Raw genomic sequence first — 17,455 nt, 5'->3', positions numbered from 1 at the left:
GAATGGCTGCAGGGAATGCTCTTCTAGACCTGAACCAGTGTGTGTATAACCAGATCCCTTTGTGAAAGTGCTCACAAGCCAAAAAAATCCCTGAGAAATACAGTGGGGAAGGCTGTGAAGCGAGGGCTCTCTGACAACAAAAATTTTCACAGAAGACGCTGCAGAAACCATAGTCTTGCACAAAAGCCATTGCTTCCTTCCACCAAAAAAATACTTCTGTGACAAGTATTTGGACAGCAACCTCCGGTCCAAACTTGGACTGACGTCACCCTCATTAGGGATCCTTGTAGCCTAGGGTAATTATCTCAAACCATTTATGGGGTCCTCCTCATTTTTCCATTGAAAACCCTTTGTGTTCTTTTACCTCCCTGAATATGCACGTAGTTTACTATAGCACCCAGATTCCCATTGCAATGCCCCATTCCTGAATACATATCATTTTCTTTTAGAGAGCTTCTCTCTGTTTGTTATTTAGGTTGACACTTTGTTGTTGGAGGGTCAGGCTGTTTCTAAAAACAGGGATCCAGGACAGGGGAGTTGTGCACAGAAGTAATGAGGTATGGGCCCCTTGAAACCTGACAGAGAGACAGACAGACAGGGACATAAAAAAAAATGCAGGCAGAGTGAGATACAGAGGGAAGACACAGAAACAGAGAGAGAGAGAGAGAGAGAGGGAAAGAACAACTCAGAAATGTCCAATTGACAAGGTCTTTCTAACCGTACTTGGGAATGTGTTTGTCTTTCATTTTGATAACACACCCTACTTTTTAAATTATAAAAGGAGTGAATTTGAATTTATTATAAAAATTTTTGATTTACATACTTACATATTTATGTAATATTATTAACATTTACATATTTATACATATATTTTATATGTATAACTATATAAGTATGTAAAATAAATATAAAATTATTTATTGTCATTTAAAGAATACCGTTTTTTAAAACCACCCAGAGATACAACCAGCTGTTTTCTATGTGTCTTTTCAGTTTGGGTATGTTATAGCTGGCATACGCATGCACATATGAATCTCTTTTATTAGAGCAGAATTATATCATTAAATTTTTGTTTTTATTAGGGCTTTTCAAATGTTAAACCCAAGTTTTGTCAGAGTAAGGTGAATATGCACCTCTGGATGTCTACTGGTTTAGAAAATATCTTTGAAGTCTTCTGTGCCCTGAAAACCCATATGAATATTTGCAGCCTACAGCCAGACACCTCCATGTTAGTTTTAATAGGAAAATAACGCATTCGTTACCACTGATGTTAGTTAATTGGCCTGCCCCAGTATTACCGTGTAAATGGTGCCTCTGAAATATATACAAAGTGGATCTTCTGGCTTTAGCTCCCTTGAAGCACTCCCCACATTCTGCCTCAGGTCCTGGACTCTCATGGGAGAAGCATGGCTTTGCACCATCACTGTTCATTATTCATGGCTGTGTAGTATTCCACTGGATTGGATATGGGTTGAGTTATTCAACCAATCCTCTATTTGCAATCATTTATGTCCTTTAAGTTTTGTTTTTTTTTTTCCAGACAGAGTCTCACTCTGTCCTCCAGGCTGGAGGTCAGTAGTGTGATCCAGGCTCACTGCAACCTCTGCCTCCTGAGTTCAAGTGATTCTCATGCCTCAGCCTCCAGAGTAGCTGGGATTACAGGCATGTGCCATCACATCGGGCTAATATTTTTTGTATTTTTAGTAGAGACGGGATTTTGCCATGTTGGCCAGGCTGGTCTTCAACTCCTGGGTTCAAGTGATCCATCCCCCTTGGCATCCCAAGTGTTGGGATTACAGGCATGAGCCACTGGGCCAGGCCGGGTTCTTTCAATTAAAAAACACGATATTTTAGAGCAGTTTTAGGTTTACAGCAAAATTCAGAGGAAGGTACAGAGGTTTTTCATATATCACCTGCCCTCCCGCATGCACAGCCACCCCCATTATCAACAGCCCCACCACAGTGGTACATTCATTGCATTTGATGAGCTCACGTTGACGCAATATTAGCACCCAAAGCCCACAGTTTATATTAGAGTTCTTTTTTTTTTTTTTTTTTTTTTTGAGATAGAGTCTTCCTCTGTCGCCAGGCTGGAGTGCAGTGGCACAATCTCGGCTCACTCAACCTCCACCTCCCAGGTTCAAGCGATTCCCCTGTCTCACCCTCCCAAGTAGCTGGGACTACAGGCACACACCACCACGCCTGGCTAATTCTTTGTGTTTTAGTAGAGATGGGGTTTCCCCATGTTGTTCAGAATGGTCTCAATCTCTGACCTCGTGATCCACCCACCTTGGCCTCCCAAAGTGCTGGGATTACAGGCGTGAGCCACCATGCCTGGCCCACTTTTTTTTGTACACAGCAGCATGAACAGCTTTTGCCTAGTCCCATTTGTAGATCCGTGATTAATCCCAGAGGTGAACTTGCACAGGAAAGAACTCAACCCTACTTAAATAGAGGTCTGGACTTTGCTCTCAGCTACTGGGAGGGAACTCTAAGCCCCTGGAATATCTCACCTGATAGGAATGTCTTTATTTACCTTAGTGCCTTGCCCAATAATATGACTAATATTCATAATAATATGACTAAATAGTTATATTCGTCTAATAATATGACCACCAAATAGTCTAATAATATGACTAATGGTAGGGACTTTGGGTCACTGTTGTCAGCTCTATCTCTAGAGCAGCTGAAGCTAAGATCAGCCATGTGAACAGCCATCCATATCTACATGGCAAAGCCACAATAAAAACCCTGGGCATCAAGGCTTAGGTGAGTGTCCCTGGTTGGTGACACTCTATGCATGTTGTCACACGTCATGTAAGGAGGAATTACTGCTGTCTGTGATTGTACTGGGAGGGGACAACTGGAAACTACACATTTGGAATTCACTGGACCCTGCCCCATGCTCTTCTCCCCTTGGCTGACTTTAATCTGTATCCTTTTGCTGTAATGAGACATAACATGAGAATAAGAGCTTTCAGTGAGTTCTGTGAGTCCTACTTGTGAACTGTCGAAACTGAAGGTGATCAGGGGACCCCTGAGTGTGAAGCTGGAGTTAGAAGTGAGGATGGTCTTGTGCACTGCCCCCAAATTACTGAGGACTGCTGGGTCAAAGGCTGTACAGGCTGTTTGAGGAAAGACCATGGTTAAGAGGGGGGATTCCTGGTCACACTGTCTGGTTTGAACCTAATGCTGCCACTTACCTGCCACGTGATCTCAGTTAAGTTTCCTATCTCCGCTAAGCTTTGCTTTCTACACCTGTAAAATGGGGACATTACCTTAGAAAATTAACACAGAAACAGAAAACCAATGCCGCATGTTCTCACTTATAAGTGGCAGTTAAAAGAGGAGAACACTTGGACACATAGAGGGGAACATCAGACACTGGGGCCTCCTTGAGGGTGGACAGTAAGAGGAGGGAGAGGAGCAGAAAAAATAGCTATTGGGTACTAGGCATAGTACCTGGGTAATGAAATAATCTGTACAAAAAACTTCCATGACACAAGTTTACCTATATAACAAATCTGCACGTGTACCCCGAACCTAAAATAAAGGTTAAGAAATAAAAAATTTAAATAAATTTAAAAGAATCTTAGGGTCTACAACTACTATGTACCCACAAAAATTAAAAAGAAAAAGAAATTGTTTTTAATAGGGATGTAAAATGTTTCCTCTTCATAGGGCTGTTCAGAAAAAACTACAGAAGAAAGTGTAGAACGTAGAATCCTTCTTAGCTGGGTTCTCATGTCTGAGGTCCTTATTACTAAGGAAAAAGAGAGAGTGGATACTGAGAGGAGACCAGCAACCACAGCCACAGAGAGCGTCCGATCAGCTCCATTTGGCTGCACCAACATGAAGCATTCCTTTTAGACACAGCATTGTGCCATGTCCCTGAAGAAACATGTACCTCCCTCCATCTAGACTGTGCATGGTCAGTGATGCCTAGTCTGAACAATCAGGATGAAGATGGCAGAACTGGTTTCATTCAGAGCCCATGGCATGACCCTTACTGTCTCATGCAACGACACCCTCATGAGGACCCTGCTGTTAGGAGAGGAGTGCAGGTTTGGAGGGTGCCTTGAGCTTCAAAGACTCACTCTCATTCCCTTAAGCAGACCCCAGAGCTAGACCTGACCCATCCCATCCGGGATCCCCCATAACTTGGAGAATTTCTTCTGAAACCCTGTCTCTCCAGTCAGGAGTGGCAGCATCCACTGCTCACCTATGGACAGGAAGCAGCCTGGGGAGCAGACCCAAGAGGCCCCTCAGTCTATTTCTGGAGCCCAGCTTTGTACCTTTTTATTAAGAGAGCAGAACGTCATAGTCCCTCCCAGGGCAAAGTTCTGCCTGGCACAGCCAGAGCGAATGCTAATGAACAGCCACTCCTTCCTGTCTATCTATCTTGGAGATCACAAAAAATGTTAAGTTGGGATCTCTGAGGCGCTGTACATAAGGTGGGTTTCTCACAGCCCCCTACTCTGGTTTTTGCCACAAGAGGTAGCTGTTATAACTTAATGTTATTTGTAATGTTATTGTTATTGTTAATGTCATTCTTGTTATTTTCCATCTCACTCCCATCTTTGGAAGCTGACTGGAGGCTCCTGCCTCTCACCCTCTCTATCCACTTCTTACTCCTATCCACAGGAGGTTGTACAAAGATTAGGGTGGATGCATCGCACAACTCTATGGCTCCCCCTGGTGGTGAGATGCATTTGAGGTGATGGGTTTGCCCAGACACCGCCGCCTTCTGTGTACATCAAATCTCCATCTGTTCCTCTCCCAGCAAGACACTTCTGATTGGATTTAAGGATCAACTCGATAATTCAGGATGAGCTACACTGGTCAAAAGCCTCTATATTATATACATACAATGAAATACCTTAAAAAGAAGGAGATTCTGACACGTGTTGCAACTTAGATGAAGCTTGGAGACACTATGCCACATGAAATTAGCCAGTCACAAAAGTTACCAATACTGTATGATTCCACTTATAGGAGGTATCTAGAATAGGCAAATTCATAGACAGAAAGTAGAAAGTTGGCTGCCGTGGGCTGGGAGCAGGACGGAATAGGGAGTTATCTTTCAGTGGGTACAGAGTTTCAATTTGGCAAGATGAAGACATTTCTGGAGATCAATGGTTGATAATTGCATAAGAGTGTGAAAGTACTTAATGCCACTTACCTGTGCACTGAAAAATGATTAAAATGGTAATTTTTGTTATGTGTATTTTAAGACGGATTTTAAAAAGCACTAAAGATTTGATCAGCCTCCTCATCAAAGAAGAAAAACTCATGGCAAATAATCACATGAATGGAAACATTCCCAACGCCATTTGCTCTTATGAAATCGTGGATTAGAACTAGAATGAGGTGGCAGTACATACCTATTAGAATGGCTACAAAACCAAACCAAAAGAAAAATAAATTTTACACATTCCTGATAATACCAAATATTAATGAGAATGTAGAGCAACCAGAACTCACATGTTTTGCTGGTGGGGATATGAAGTGGCACTCACACTTTGGAGAACACTTTGACAATTTCTTTTTCTTTTTCTTTTTTTAGACAGAGTCTCACTGTGTCGCCCAGGCTGAAGTGCAGTGGCACGATCTCGGCTCACTGCAGCCTCCGTCTCCCAGTTTCAAGCGATTCACCTGCCTCAGTCTCCTGAGTAGCTGGGATAGCAGGCACCCACCACACCTAGCTAATTTTTGTATTTTTAGTAGAGATGGGGTCTCGCCATGTTGGCCAGGCTGGTCTTGAACTCCTGACCTCAAATGATCCACCCGCCTCAGCCTCCCAAAGTTCTGGGATTACAGGCGTGAGCCACCGCACCCAGCTGCGATTTCTTATAACTTACACATGTGACTAAGCACCCAACTCCTAGGTATTTATGCAAGAGAAAAAAAAACTAGTGTCCACACACAGAAATCTGCATGGGAATATTTGTACTAGCTTTATATTATATTCACCAAAACCTGGAAACATTCTGAGTATCTGTCAAACAGTGAATATATACAAAATGGGGGATCTGTGGAAAACAATGAAGTATGAGTCAGCAATTTAAAAACAAAAACAAATTATTCATATATATACCCAATCACATAGCTGAGTCTCAAATGCATTACACCGAGTGAATGAATCCAAGGAATCCAAGCCATATTCTTAACTTTAAAATAACTTACAACAAGGTATTATATTACTTATTAAAACCTCAATTATTTATATAGTAAGTGAAGATACAAATAGCTCTCCATGTTAATAAGGACAAATGAGCATTTATCTAGATAATACTGTAATAAATATTTTACTAATATATGGTGCCAAATAGTATTATGTCCTAGATTTCAAGAGTTCGTTGGATGCATACGATACAGAGTGAGATGGAAAATCACGTAGCTGAACCTAAAATTGCTTTTTATCCATTAAGTTTTTTATTTTGATTTTTATTTATTTATTTATTTTGAAACTTAAAGGTATTGGCCAGGACATTTAACTGTGTGACTGTCAGGAAGGTCACACCCGGGTATAGTCAGATATGTGTCATATGATTTAGCGAGGCAAATTTCCAAATCCTCAGATAAGAGAACAGCATGACCACATTGTCTGAGACTCTTCATAGACAAGAGGGAGGAAGAGGATTAGGAAACACCAGAAAAACTAAATTCCAACAAGACAATTATAAATGCATGTCAATGCCCAAACAAGCAACTCATGAAAGAAAAATAGAGACCGGACGCGGTGGCTCACACCTGTAGTCCTAGCACTTTGGGAGGACGAGGTGGGCGGATCACCTGAGGTCGGGAGTTCGAGACCAGCCTGACCAACATGGAGAAACCCTGTCTCTACTAAAAATACAAAATTAGCCAGGCATGGTGGCGCATGCTTGTAATCCCAGCTACTCAGGAGGCTGAGGCAGGAGAATTGCTTGAACCTGGGATGCAGAGGTTGTGGTGAGCCGAGATCGTGCCATTGCACTCCAGCCTGGGCAACAAGAGCAAAACTTCATCTCAAAAAAAAAAAAAAAAAAAAAAGTAAAGAAAAAAGAAAAGAAAAATACAAATAGCCATAAACATGAAAAATGGAACCTAAAATTTTAATTTTGTCTGTATACTCATGTTGTCTGAAAATATTATGTCTTATGAGCCTCATTTAACTGTGAGCAGCATATTTTTACATGAAAGGAAATGCTAATCTCTATGAAGAGGACCTCAAATAAATCACTTCTGTCCACACTACACAGAATGGCAACATCCATGGAAAAGAAGTTTCTTCTGCACTGCAGTCCATAGAATATGTGTCCTTCCTTTTGGTTTACAAGAAGATCCTGCATGGTTCTTATTCTGAAGATGTCATTCAAATTTTGTAAATCAGCATACCAGTTGTCAGGGAAAAAAATTCAGTACTCAAGTTTTTTTAAAATACCTAGTATTGGCCGGGCGTGGTGGCTCATGCCTGTGGTCCCAGCACTTTGGTAGGCCGAGGCAGGTGGATCATGAGGTCAGGAGTTCGAGACGAGCCTGACCAACATGGTGAAACCCCATTTCTACTTAAAAAAAAATACAAAAATTAGCTGGGTGTGGTGGCAGACACCTGTAATCCCAGCTACTCAGGAGCTACTCAGGAGGCTGAGGCAGGAGAATCACTTGAACCCAGGAGGCAGAGGTTGCAGTGAGCTAAGATTGCACCACTGCACTCCAGCATGAGCGACAGAGCGAGACTCAGTCTCAAAAAAAACCACCTAGAATTCTACCATGACATACGGCAAATTCACCAGTGTCCACAGCTCTAAAGCCAGTGTGTGTGTGTGTGTGTGTGTGTGTGTGTATGGTGAGGACATGAGGCTATGGGTGGGGGCCATCTCAAGGGTGGGGACCAGGTCCCTGGCATCTTTTCTCCAGCCCCACTGACACACAGATGCTCACTGTGTGTTTGGTGAATGAATGAATGTATGAATGAGTGAATGGCTACCACCCACACTGCACCCAGGACCCTTCTTCTTTTCACTGTCCCAGACACTCCCACAGAACCTACAGAATCCTCCATCCTGCAGGACTGACTTCCTCATGACTCTAGATGAGGTTGTGACTCTCTGGGACCAGACCAGGAGTGACATGTTCCCAGGTATAAACGGTGGTGCACAAAAAAGCACCTCAGGGTGGGAGAACCTTAGACCCTCATGAGTGTCCCATGCCTCAGATGTCCCCAGAGATCCTAGTCCAGGCTCTGGTGGTGGAGGGAAGCTCTCAGATGAGAGGAAATATAAGATCTCTGCTCCTTATTTGCTCCCCTCTGGGGAGGTCTCTGGAGTCTCCCTCTGCTCTGTGCAGAGGGGATGAGCTCTGACCACGTGTAGGTCTGAGGTTTTTCTTCTGTGAACCGCCAAGTCCTCCTGCTTCTCCTCAGCCTCCAATGGGCCCTCAAACCTTCCCCTCCAATCCCTTCCCCTTCTCTCATTACACAGGGAGTCCAGGAACCCTCTGCCTAAGAGACGCTGCTGCCCCTGCAGTGGATAGGTGAGTGGGCCATGGGGAGAGGGACTCTGGGGCTGAACTGAGCTGACCCTCGTTTCTCCACTGGAGCCCTGGCTCAGGATGCAGTTTTCTAGCTGGAAGTGCAGGAGTCTGTGACTGTACAGGAGTGTCTGTGCACCCTCATGCCTTGCTCATTCTCCTATCTCCACCCTACTACACGAATAACTCTGTTCATGACTACTGGTTCCGGGAAGGAGGCAAGGAATTCTGGGACACTTCAGAGCCCACAAACAACCCAAATTGAAAAATGAAGGAGGAGACCCTGGGCCTTTTCTGCCTCTTCAGGAATCCCCAGAGGAACAACTGCTCCCAGAGTATCATAGATGCCAGAAGGAGGTGAACAATGGTTCACATTTCTTTCAGGTGGAGAGAGGAAGTACCAAATACAGGTTATAATCTCCCCAGTTCTCTTTGTGTGTGACTGGTAAGAAACCAGCTCCAGGACTGACCACAGGGGAAAGTCAAAGGGGCTGCAGGGCAGGGTAGGGCTGGGATGGGGTCCCTGTCCTGGGAGGGAGTTGGGCATAAAGCATGCCGGGGGTTTGGGGGAGGAGCTAGACCAGAGCCTGAGCTTCCCCCAGGGCTTCACCTTGGACCTACCCTTTTGATCCTGCATGCCCCCCATCTCCTCACTAACCCTGACTCATATACCCAACATTCTCATCCTGGAGACCCTAGAGTCCAGCCACCTCTGAAACCTGACCTGATCTGTGCGCTGGGCCTATAAGCAGGAGACACCCCCTTATCATTTCCTGGATGTCAGCTGCCCCCACTTCTCTGAGCCCCAGGACCACCCATTCCTTGGCGTTCACAATCACCTCAAGGCTCCAGGACCATGGCACCAACCTGACCTGTCAGGTGAAGTTTCTCAGAGCTGGTGTGACTGCAGAGAGAACCATCCAGCTCAATGTCTCCTATGAGTGCTGGGCCAGGATGCCTGGGTTCCTGAGGGTGTGGTGGGGACAGGACAGCTGGAGCTGAGGACACTTGATATCCTGGAGGACTGGCTGAGCAGGGGAACAGGAAGGACACAAGCCCTGTCCCTTCTGCATGCCTTCGGCTTCTAGGAGGAGTAGGAGGAAATGCTTACCCTTATCTCCTCCCCACCTCCAACTGAAGGAAGTCCTCTCTTCCTGTCCAAGAGGTTCCACAAAACCTGACAACTAGTGTCTCCCTAGGAGATAGATCAGATAGGAGGGCACCTCTCTACATGCAGCTGTTACTGGATTGTTTGTAGGGGGGTTTTGGCTGTTGAGGTGTTTGAGTTCCTTGTATAGTTTGGATATTAATCCCCTGACAGATGAATAGTTTGCAAATATTTTCTCCCATTTTGTAGGTTGCCTTTTCACTCCGTTGATTGATTCCTTCGCTGTGCAGAAGTGTTGTAGTTTGACAGAATGTCATTTGTTTATTTTTGCTTTTGTTACCTGTGCTTTTGCGGTCTTATTTATAAAATCTTTTCCTAGACAAATGACCTGAAGCATTGCCCCTGTGTTTTCTTACAGTAGTTTTAGAGTTTGGGTTCTTTAATTTAGCTATTTGATCCATTATGAGCTGATTTGTATGTAGGGTGAAAGGTGGAGATGTAGTTTCATTCTTTTGCGTATGGGTAATTTTCCCAGCACCATATTGAAGAAACCGTCCTTTCCCTAATGAGTGTTCTTGGCATTTTTGTAAAAATCAGTTGGCAGTGGATAACATGAATTAATTTATGGGTTCTCTATTATGTTCCATTTGCCTGTGTACTGGTTTTTATGCCAGTATCATGCGTCTGGGTTGCCACAGCTTTGTGGTATATTTTGAAGTCTGATCGTGTGATGCCTCCAGCTTTGTTCTTTTTGCTCAGGATTGCTTTGGATATTCAGGTCTTTTGCAGTTCCATACAAATTTTAAGACTTTTTTCTATTTCTGTGAAGAATGTCATTGATATTTTCATAGAGATCACATTGAATCTGTAGATTACTTTGAATGGCATGGTCATTTTAACAATATTAATTCTACTCCATTTGTTTGTATCCTGCTCAGTTTCTTCCATCAGTGTTTTGTAGCTTTCCTTGCAGAGCTCGTTCACCTCTTTGATTAAACATGTTCCTAAGTATTTCATTGCTTATAGGTATTGTAAATGGGATGCTTTCTTGATTTCTTTATTAGCTAATTTTTTGTTGGCGTATAGCAACACTACTCATTTTTGTATGTTGATTTTGTATCCTGCAAATTTGCTGAATTCGTTTATCAATGCTAAGAGTTTTTTGGTAGTCTTTAGGTTTTTCTATAGGTAAGATCATGTTTATCTGCAAACAGAGACAATTTGACTTCCTCCTTCCAAATCCGGATGATCCTTGTTGTTTTGGTTTTTGTTTTTCCTCTTGTGTAATTGCACTGGCTGGAACTTTCAGTACTATGTTGAATAAGAGTGGTGAGAGTGGATATATTTGTCTTGTTCCACTTCTTAGAGGAAAAGCTTCCTACACTACTCCATTTACTATGATGTTAGCTATGGGTTTTTCTATGTGGTCTTTTTGGGGTTGAGTTACTTTACTTTCATAACTAATTTATTGAGAGATTTTATCATGAAAGAATGTTGAATTTTATCAGACCCATTTTCTACAACAATTGAGATGATCTTATAGGTTTCGTCCTTCATTCTGTTGACATAATGTATCATGTTTATTGATTTACATATGTTGAACCATCCTTAACATTCCTGGGATAAATCCCATTTGATTATGGTACATTATCTTTTTGGTGTTTTGCTGGATTTGGTTTGTTAGTATTTTTTTGGAGATTTCTATGTCTATATTTATCAGGGTTATTTGCCCGTAGTTTTTCTTTTGTGTTGTGTCCTTGTCTATTTTTGGTATCAGGATTATGCTGGCCTCACAGAAGGATATAGGACAAGTTCCCTCTGCTTCAATTTTTCTTGAACATTTTGAGAAGAATTTATGTTAATTCTTTAAATGTTCACTAGAAATCAGCAGGGAAGCCATCTAGTCCTGTTCTTTCTTTGTTGGGAGGTTTATTACTGATTCAATCTTGTTGCATGTCATTGATATGTTCAGGTTTTCTGTTTCTTCCTGTTTCAATCTTAGCAGATTCTATATGTCGAGGAATTTATCAGTTTCTTCTAGGTCTTCAAATTTATTGGCATATAGTTCATATATTCTTTCATGATCTTTTGTATTTCTGTGGTATCCGTTGTGACATCTTTTTCATTTCTGATTTTATTTATTTTCGTCTTCCCTCTTTTTTTCCTAGTTACTCTAGCTGATGGCTTGTTGGTTTTGTTTACCTTTTAAAAAATCCAACTTCGTGTTTTGTTGATCTTTTGTATTATTTTGTCTCAATTTGATTTGTGCTCTGTTCTTTATTATTTCTTTCTTTCTTTTCTTTTTTTTTTTTTTTGTGAGACAGAGTTTTGCTCTTGTTGCCCAGGCTAAAGTGTCATGGTGCAATCTTGGCTCACCGCAACCTCTGCCTCCTGGGTTTAAGCAATTCTCCTGCCTCAGTCTCCCGAGTAGTTGGGATTACAGGTATGCGCCACCACACCCAGCTAATTCTGTATTTTTAGTAGAGGTGGGGTTTCTCCAAGTTGGTCAGGCTGGTCTCAAACTCCCGACCTCAGGTGATCTACCCTCCTCAGCCTCCCAAAGTGCTGGGATTACAGGCATGAGCCACCGCGCCCGGCCCTATTATTTCTTTTTTTCTACTAATTTTGGGTTTGCTTTGTTCTTGCTTTTCTAGTTTCTTGAGATGCATTGTTGTTTATTTGAAATCTTTCTAGTCTTTCCTGTAAACATTTATTGCTATAAACTTACCTCTTAATACTTAATTTTCTCTGTCCTATAGTTTTTGGCATGTTGTGTTTCTATTTTAATTTGTTCAATGAATTTTTAAATTTCAATTTTAGCTTTGTTCTTCACTCATTGGTTGTTCAGAAGCATGTCGTTTAATTTTAATATATTTGTGTAGTTTCTAATGTTCCTCTTGTTACTGGTTTTGAGTTGTTTTCAACTATAGTCAGGTAAGATACTTGACATTTTGATAAACGATGCTCTGTTATTGGGTGCATATACATTTAACGTATACACGTCTTTAACAAACTGATAGAAGCCAGATACATAAATATTGTGTGAGTCAATTTATATGAAGCTCCAGAATAGAAAAAACTAATAGATAGTGATGAGAATCACGTAAGTGATGGCTGCAAGTGAAACACTGACTGGGATAGAAAATAAGAAAGCGCCAGGCGCGGTGGCTCACGCCTGTAATCCCACCACTTTGGGAGGCCGAGGCGGGTGGATCACGAGGTCAGGAGATCGAGACCATCCTGGCTAACAAGGTGAAACCCCGTCTCTACTAAAAAATACAAAAATTAGCCAGGCGTGGTGGCGGGCGCCTGTAGTCCCAGCTACTCGGGAGGCTGAGGCAGGAGAATGGCGTGAACCCGGGAGGCAGAGCTGGCAGTGAGCCGAGATCGCGCCACTGCACTCCAGCCTGGGCGACAGAGCGAGACTCCGTCTCAAAAAAAAAAAAAAAAAAAAAAAGAAAAGAAAGAAAATAAGAAAGCTTGGAGGGATGAAAAAAAGATTCCCTATCTTGATTGAGGACATAGTTACAGGGTGTTTACATTTGCCAAAACTAATTTAACTGTATGCTTACAATGTGTGCTTTTTATTATACGTAAGGTATGTCTTCATAAAGTTTATATGAAGTTAACGCTGTAGTAGATGGGAAAAATGCAATATAATCGTGATGAAGAGTAATGACTTTGGGTTGATATGGGCCCTTTCTCTCTCTGTCTCTCTTTTTCTCGATGAAATCGGCTTTATTTTCTCACACTTTACCCACTGCACACTTTCGAAACACTTCTTGCTACTCAACAATATTTTTGTGGCCGCCGCACTAGGATACAGGCGCACTGCGGGCAGAATTTTGGCCGTTTTTTTCTCGCCGCTGTTTCCCCCACGGCCTTTGGCTGCGCCCTGCTCGCTGCTCTGGGATGAACTTGCCTTTCAGGCAGCCCTGCCCATCTCTCACCTCCCAGCTCACCTGTCCCACCTGCCCGCGGATCCTCACCCTCTCCGCTGGGCTCCCACAGCCCCGTCCTCCCCGCTGGCTCAGCCCGGACCCCGCCAGGCTGTGCCCGCCTCTGTCTCCCCTGCCCGTGGCCGGTGCCCCTCCAGGCTCCGCCTCGCCCAGCCCAGACGCCCAGGCGGCTCCGCCCCATAGATGGGAGGCAACTGCCCAGGGTGCAGGGGCAGCGAGGGGCTGCGGCTGAGAGCCCTGCCCGGTCCTGGGGAGGGAGGGAGAGTGTGGGTGGAGGGGGCAGCCCTGCAGATGTCAGAGACAGGGCGGCAGCAGCACAGGTTTCCTCTGGTGAGGAGCCCTTCCCTTCCCTTTTCTCCTTCCATCCTCTGAGCATCCCATGTTACAGGCTGTCCCAGACCCCTGTGGGACTCTGCATCCACCGCGGTCCACACCGGGCTGTGCTCACAGGAACACATCGAATCCTCTCGACCACTCCATGGACTCTCTTGCCAGGGCCGCCTTGAGAAAGGAACACAGACCGAGTGGCTTCACCAACGCCTTTGTTTTCCCACCCTTCTGGAGGCTGGAAGTCTGAGACCAAGCTGTGGTCAGCGTTGCTTCCTTCTGAGGCCTCTCGGTGGCTTGCGGGTGGCATCTTCTCCCTGTGTCCCACGTGGTCTTTCTCCCGAGTATGTCGCTGTCCTAATCACACCTTTTTTTTTTTTTTTTTTTTTTTTTTGAGACAGAGCCTCACTCTGTCGCCCAGGCTGGAGTGCAGTGGCACCATTTTGGCTCACGGCAGCCACCGTCTCCCGGGTTCAAGCAATTCTTCCGCCTCAGCATCTGGAGTAGCTGGGATTACAGGCACATGCCACCACGTCTGGATAATTTTTGTATTTTTAGTAGAGACGGGGTTTCACCATGCTGGTCAAGCTGGTCTCCAACTCCTGACCTCAAGTCATCTGCCCGTGTCGGTCTCCGGAAGTGCTGGGATTACAGGCCTGAGCCACCACACTCCACCCCTAATCACCCCTTCTAATAAAGACACAGCTCATGTAGGATGAGAGCTAACAACTTCATTTTAACTTAGTCACCTTTTTATAAGTCCTCGTCTCCAAATATGGTCACTTTCTGAGGTGCTGGGGGTTAGGACTTCAGCATAGGAATTTGTAGGGGACACAGTTCATCCCTGACACCCCGTAAGTGTTGACATCCGACGATGCACAGTGCAGGTAAGCCCCCTCCCAAGACAGCACCGTGGGTTTTACAGAGCCCAGCTCAAGCCAGCAGCCATCCAGCTACAGAGCCTGTACCCCTGAACTCTCTCTGTGAGGCCTCAGCTGAGGAAGCCCCAGAGCAGTGTGGACCACCAGGAGCTCCTTACTGAGGGCAGGACTCCGAGTGACCCCTGAGAATGGTTAGGGCCAGACACGTGGATGCTTCGGGCCTGCCCAGGGACACAGAGCATGTTGGCCATGCCTGAGTCTGCAGAGAACGTCGCCTCCTCGAGCTGGGTTCTCCCTCAGGCTGAGGGGTGGGTGCTGTGATCCCTCCAGGGGACAGATGAGGAGACTGAGACTTGGAGGGAGAGGGCCCAGGACCCTCACACTCCAGAGCCAGGGCCTCCCCTAGCATCTTGGGCTCAGCCTTGCTCCCCATGCTGGGCTCACAGGGCCTCGGCTGTGCAGTCACCACCAGGCATGCTGGGCAGGGGGCACTGAGAAGGTTAGGAAGGCTGGGGACCACCTGTGGGGCCGCATGCTCACAGCACCTCAGAGTCCTGGTCCCGTCCACTCTGCCCGAGTATACCTGAGACCGCACCTTCTAGCTGCACAGGGCCCTCGGGGTTCCACAAGCCCTGCCTGTGTTTCAAGCATCACAGCCCTTACTAACAGGAGCTGGGGTGGCCCAGGGCTCCTCTGCCCCCTCGTTCATTAGGGAACTTCCCAAGGAAGGAGACAGAGTCTGTCACACTCTCCCCTTTGCCTCCATCCCCCTGAAAGGAGGAGATGCTCCTGATGTGGTGATTGTGCTCATTCATTAAACATCACCTCTCCCGCCTCGGGGGACCCCTCCCCATCTCTCATGCCTCGTGGTTCCTCCGCCAGCCCCTCCTGAGTCCCAGCTCTGGCAGGACTGACCCTCCCGAGCACCTAGAAGCTGTAATGGACAGGCAGTGCCTGCTTCCCTGGTGTGGACAGTGCTGTGGGAGGGAAAGGCTGTGGGCAGAGAGCCTGCAGCTGTGGGTCGGGGCCTCCCTGCTGTGTGTGGCCCACACTGAAGACCCATCCGGAGAGTAGAAATGGCCACTCCCCAGGAGCCCTGACAGCTCTGGCAGTGTCGGGGCCAAGGTCCTCTTTTGTGGTCAGTTATTTTTCTGATCTTACCCCCAGGCTTCCTGTGGGGCCCTTCTAGGGCCCTGCGACACCAAGGCTCACCCTAAAGAAGCTCACGCTGCAATAGCTGCTGCCCCTGCTGTGGGCAGGAGAATGGGCCTCAGGGAGAGGAACCATGGGGCTGGGCTGGGCTGACCCTCATTTCCCCACAGGGGATCTGGCTCAGGATATGAGATCCCGGCAGGAAGCCCCAGAGTTGGTGCAGGTGCAGGAGGGTTTCTGTGACTACGCACTGCTCCATCTTCCACCCCTGTGGGTACCTGTCTGACTCCAGCCCTGTCCAAGGCTACTGTCCCAGAAAGGGGACATTTCCATCAGGATCCTCAAGTGGCTGGAAGCAATCTAGTTGGAAAAGAGCAGGAGGAGACCCAGAGCCAATTCCACCTGCTTCAGACCCCAGGCCAGCACCTGCTTTCTGGACGTCAGAGACACACAGAGGCGAGATGCAGGGACAGACCTCTTTAGGGAGAAAAGGGAGATCTATGTGAATGTAATTACAGAAATGCTCTATGTGCATGTGAAGGGTAAGGAATGAGGTTATGAAAGGACACACGAATGGGGGTTCCCAGGGCAGTGAAGCTGACACATCAAATTAACTGTCACACTGCCCAAGGAGGCAGTGCTCAGCTCATACACAGAAACACACAGGTACACACAGACACTCCCTCTCCCTCACACACAGGGTCTCTCTCTCTCTGTCTCTCTCTCTCTCTCAATCACACACACACACACACACACACACACACACACACACACACCCAAGCATTGGGCATTCTGGGTACTGAGATGCGCTGTGTCCTTCCCTTTGCCCTGGGAAGCTGGGTCTCCCCTGAAAAGGTGAATGGCGCTAGTTGTCAGGTCAAAGAGACCCTGGGACATCGTCTTAGGATGAGAGAACTATTTGGGATGCCATTTTATGGATCCCTTGCCTGTCACTGTATGTGTCTCTCTGGGCCACCTGTGTCCATGTGGGTCACCAATCCCCATGTCAGGATTCAATGATTCTCTGCTCCCTAAGGCATAGCCCGTGGTGTCCCACACGCCCTCCTTGCCGTCCAGCAGGTGAACAAGTGAGCGGCTATCGTGTCTCCCTATGAGATGGGCCAGTGGTCAGCGTCAATATGTGAGAGCTGCAACAGCTCCTGCCCCTACACGGACCCCTCAGGGCTGCTGCTCCAACTTCCCCCTTCCCTTGTGGTGAACTTTGTCCAGGAAGCAAACAGGGAAGGGGATTCTGGGAATTGTAGTTCCAGCCTGGCTAAGTTGCTGGAGAGCAAGGCCTGCACAGGAGTCTTCACTGAAGGCTTCAATTACCACTTGGGGACCATGGAAAAGACCTGTGCCATGGCTCGGCCCTTCTGACTATTGAGATACTGCAGCTGTCTCTACTGGGCAAGGATAGGAGGCCCAGGAGGGGGAAATGGCTGCAGAATGAGATACCAGCTACAAATGCAAGCATTGGTGATGGGGGTGGGAGTCGGCTATGCACACCCAAG

At 45.9% G+C, this 17,455-nt stretch overlaps 2 pseudogenes, besides 1 other annotated feature; both read left to right on the top strand.

Annotated features, from left to right (window-relative positions):
• Window positions 8,282-9,163, top strand: SIGLEC26P (sialic acid binding Ig like lectin 26, pseudogene; annotated as a pseudogene).
• Window positions 13,847-14,595: an enhancer, noted in NCBI's record as "H3K27ac-H3K4me1 hESC enhancer chr19:51966471-51967219 (GRCh37/hg19 assembly coordinates)". NCBI's record gives its function as "activates a minimal SCP1, AML or CMV promoter by ChIP-STARR-seq in naive H9 embryonic stem cells {active_cell/tissue: H9 hESC(naive)}" and the evidence as "EXISTENCE:reporter gene assay evidence [ECO:0000049][PMID:30033119]".
• Window positions 16,009-16,483, top strand: SIGLEC25P (sialic acid binding Ig like lectin 25, pseudogene; annotated as a pseudogene).

Source organism: Homo sapiens, chromosome 19 (assembly GCF_000001405.40).
Source record: "Homo sapiens chromosome 19, GRCh38.p14 Primary Assembly".
NCBI classification, from domain to species: Eukaryota; Metazoa; Chordata; class Mammalia; order Primates; family Hominidae; genus Homo; species Homo sapiens.
Note: the sequence above shows the minus strand (reverse complement) of the source record. Positions and strands in the feature narration are given on the sequence as shown.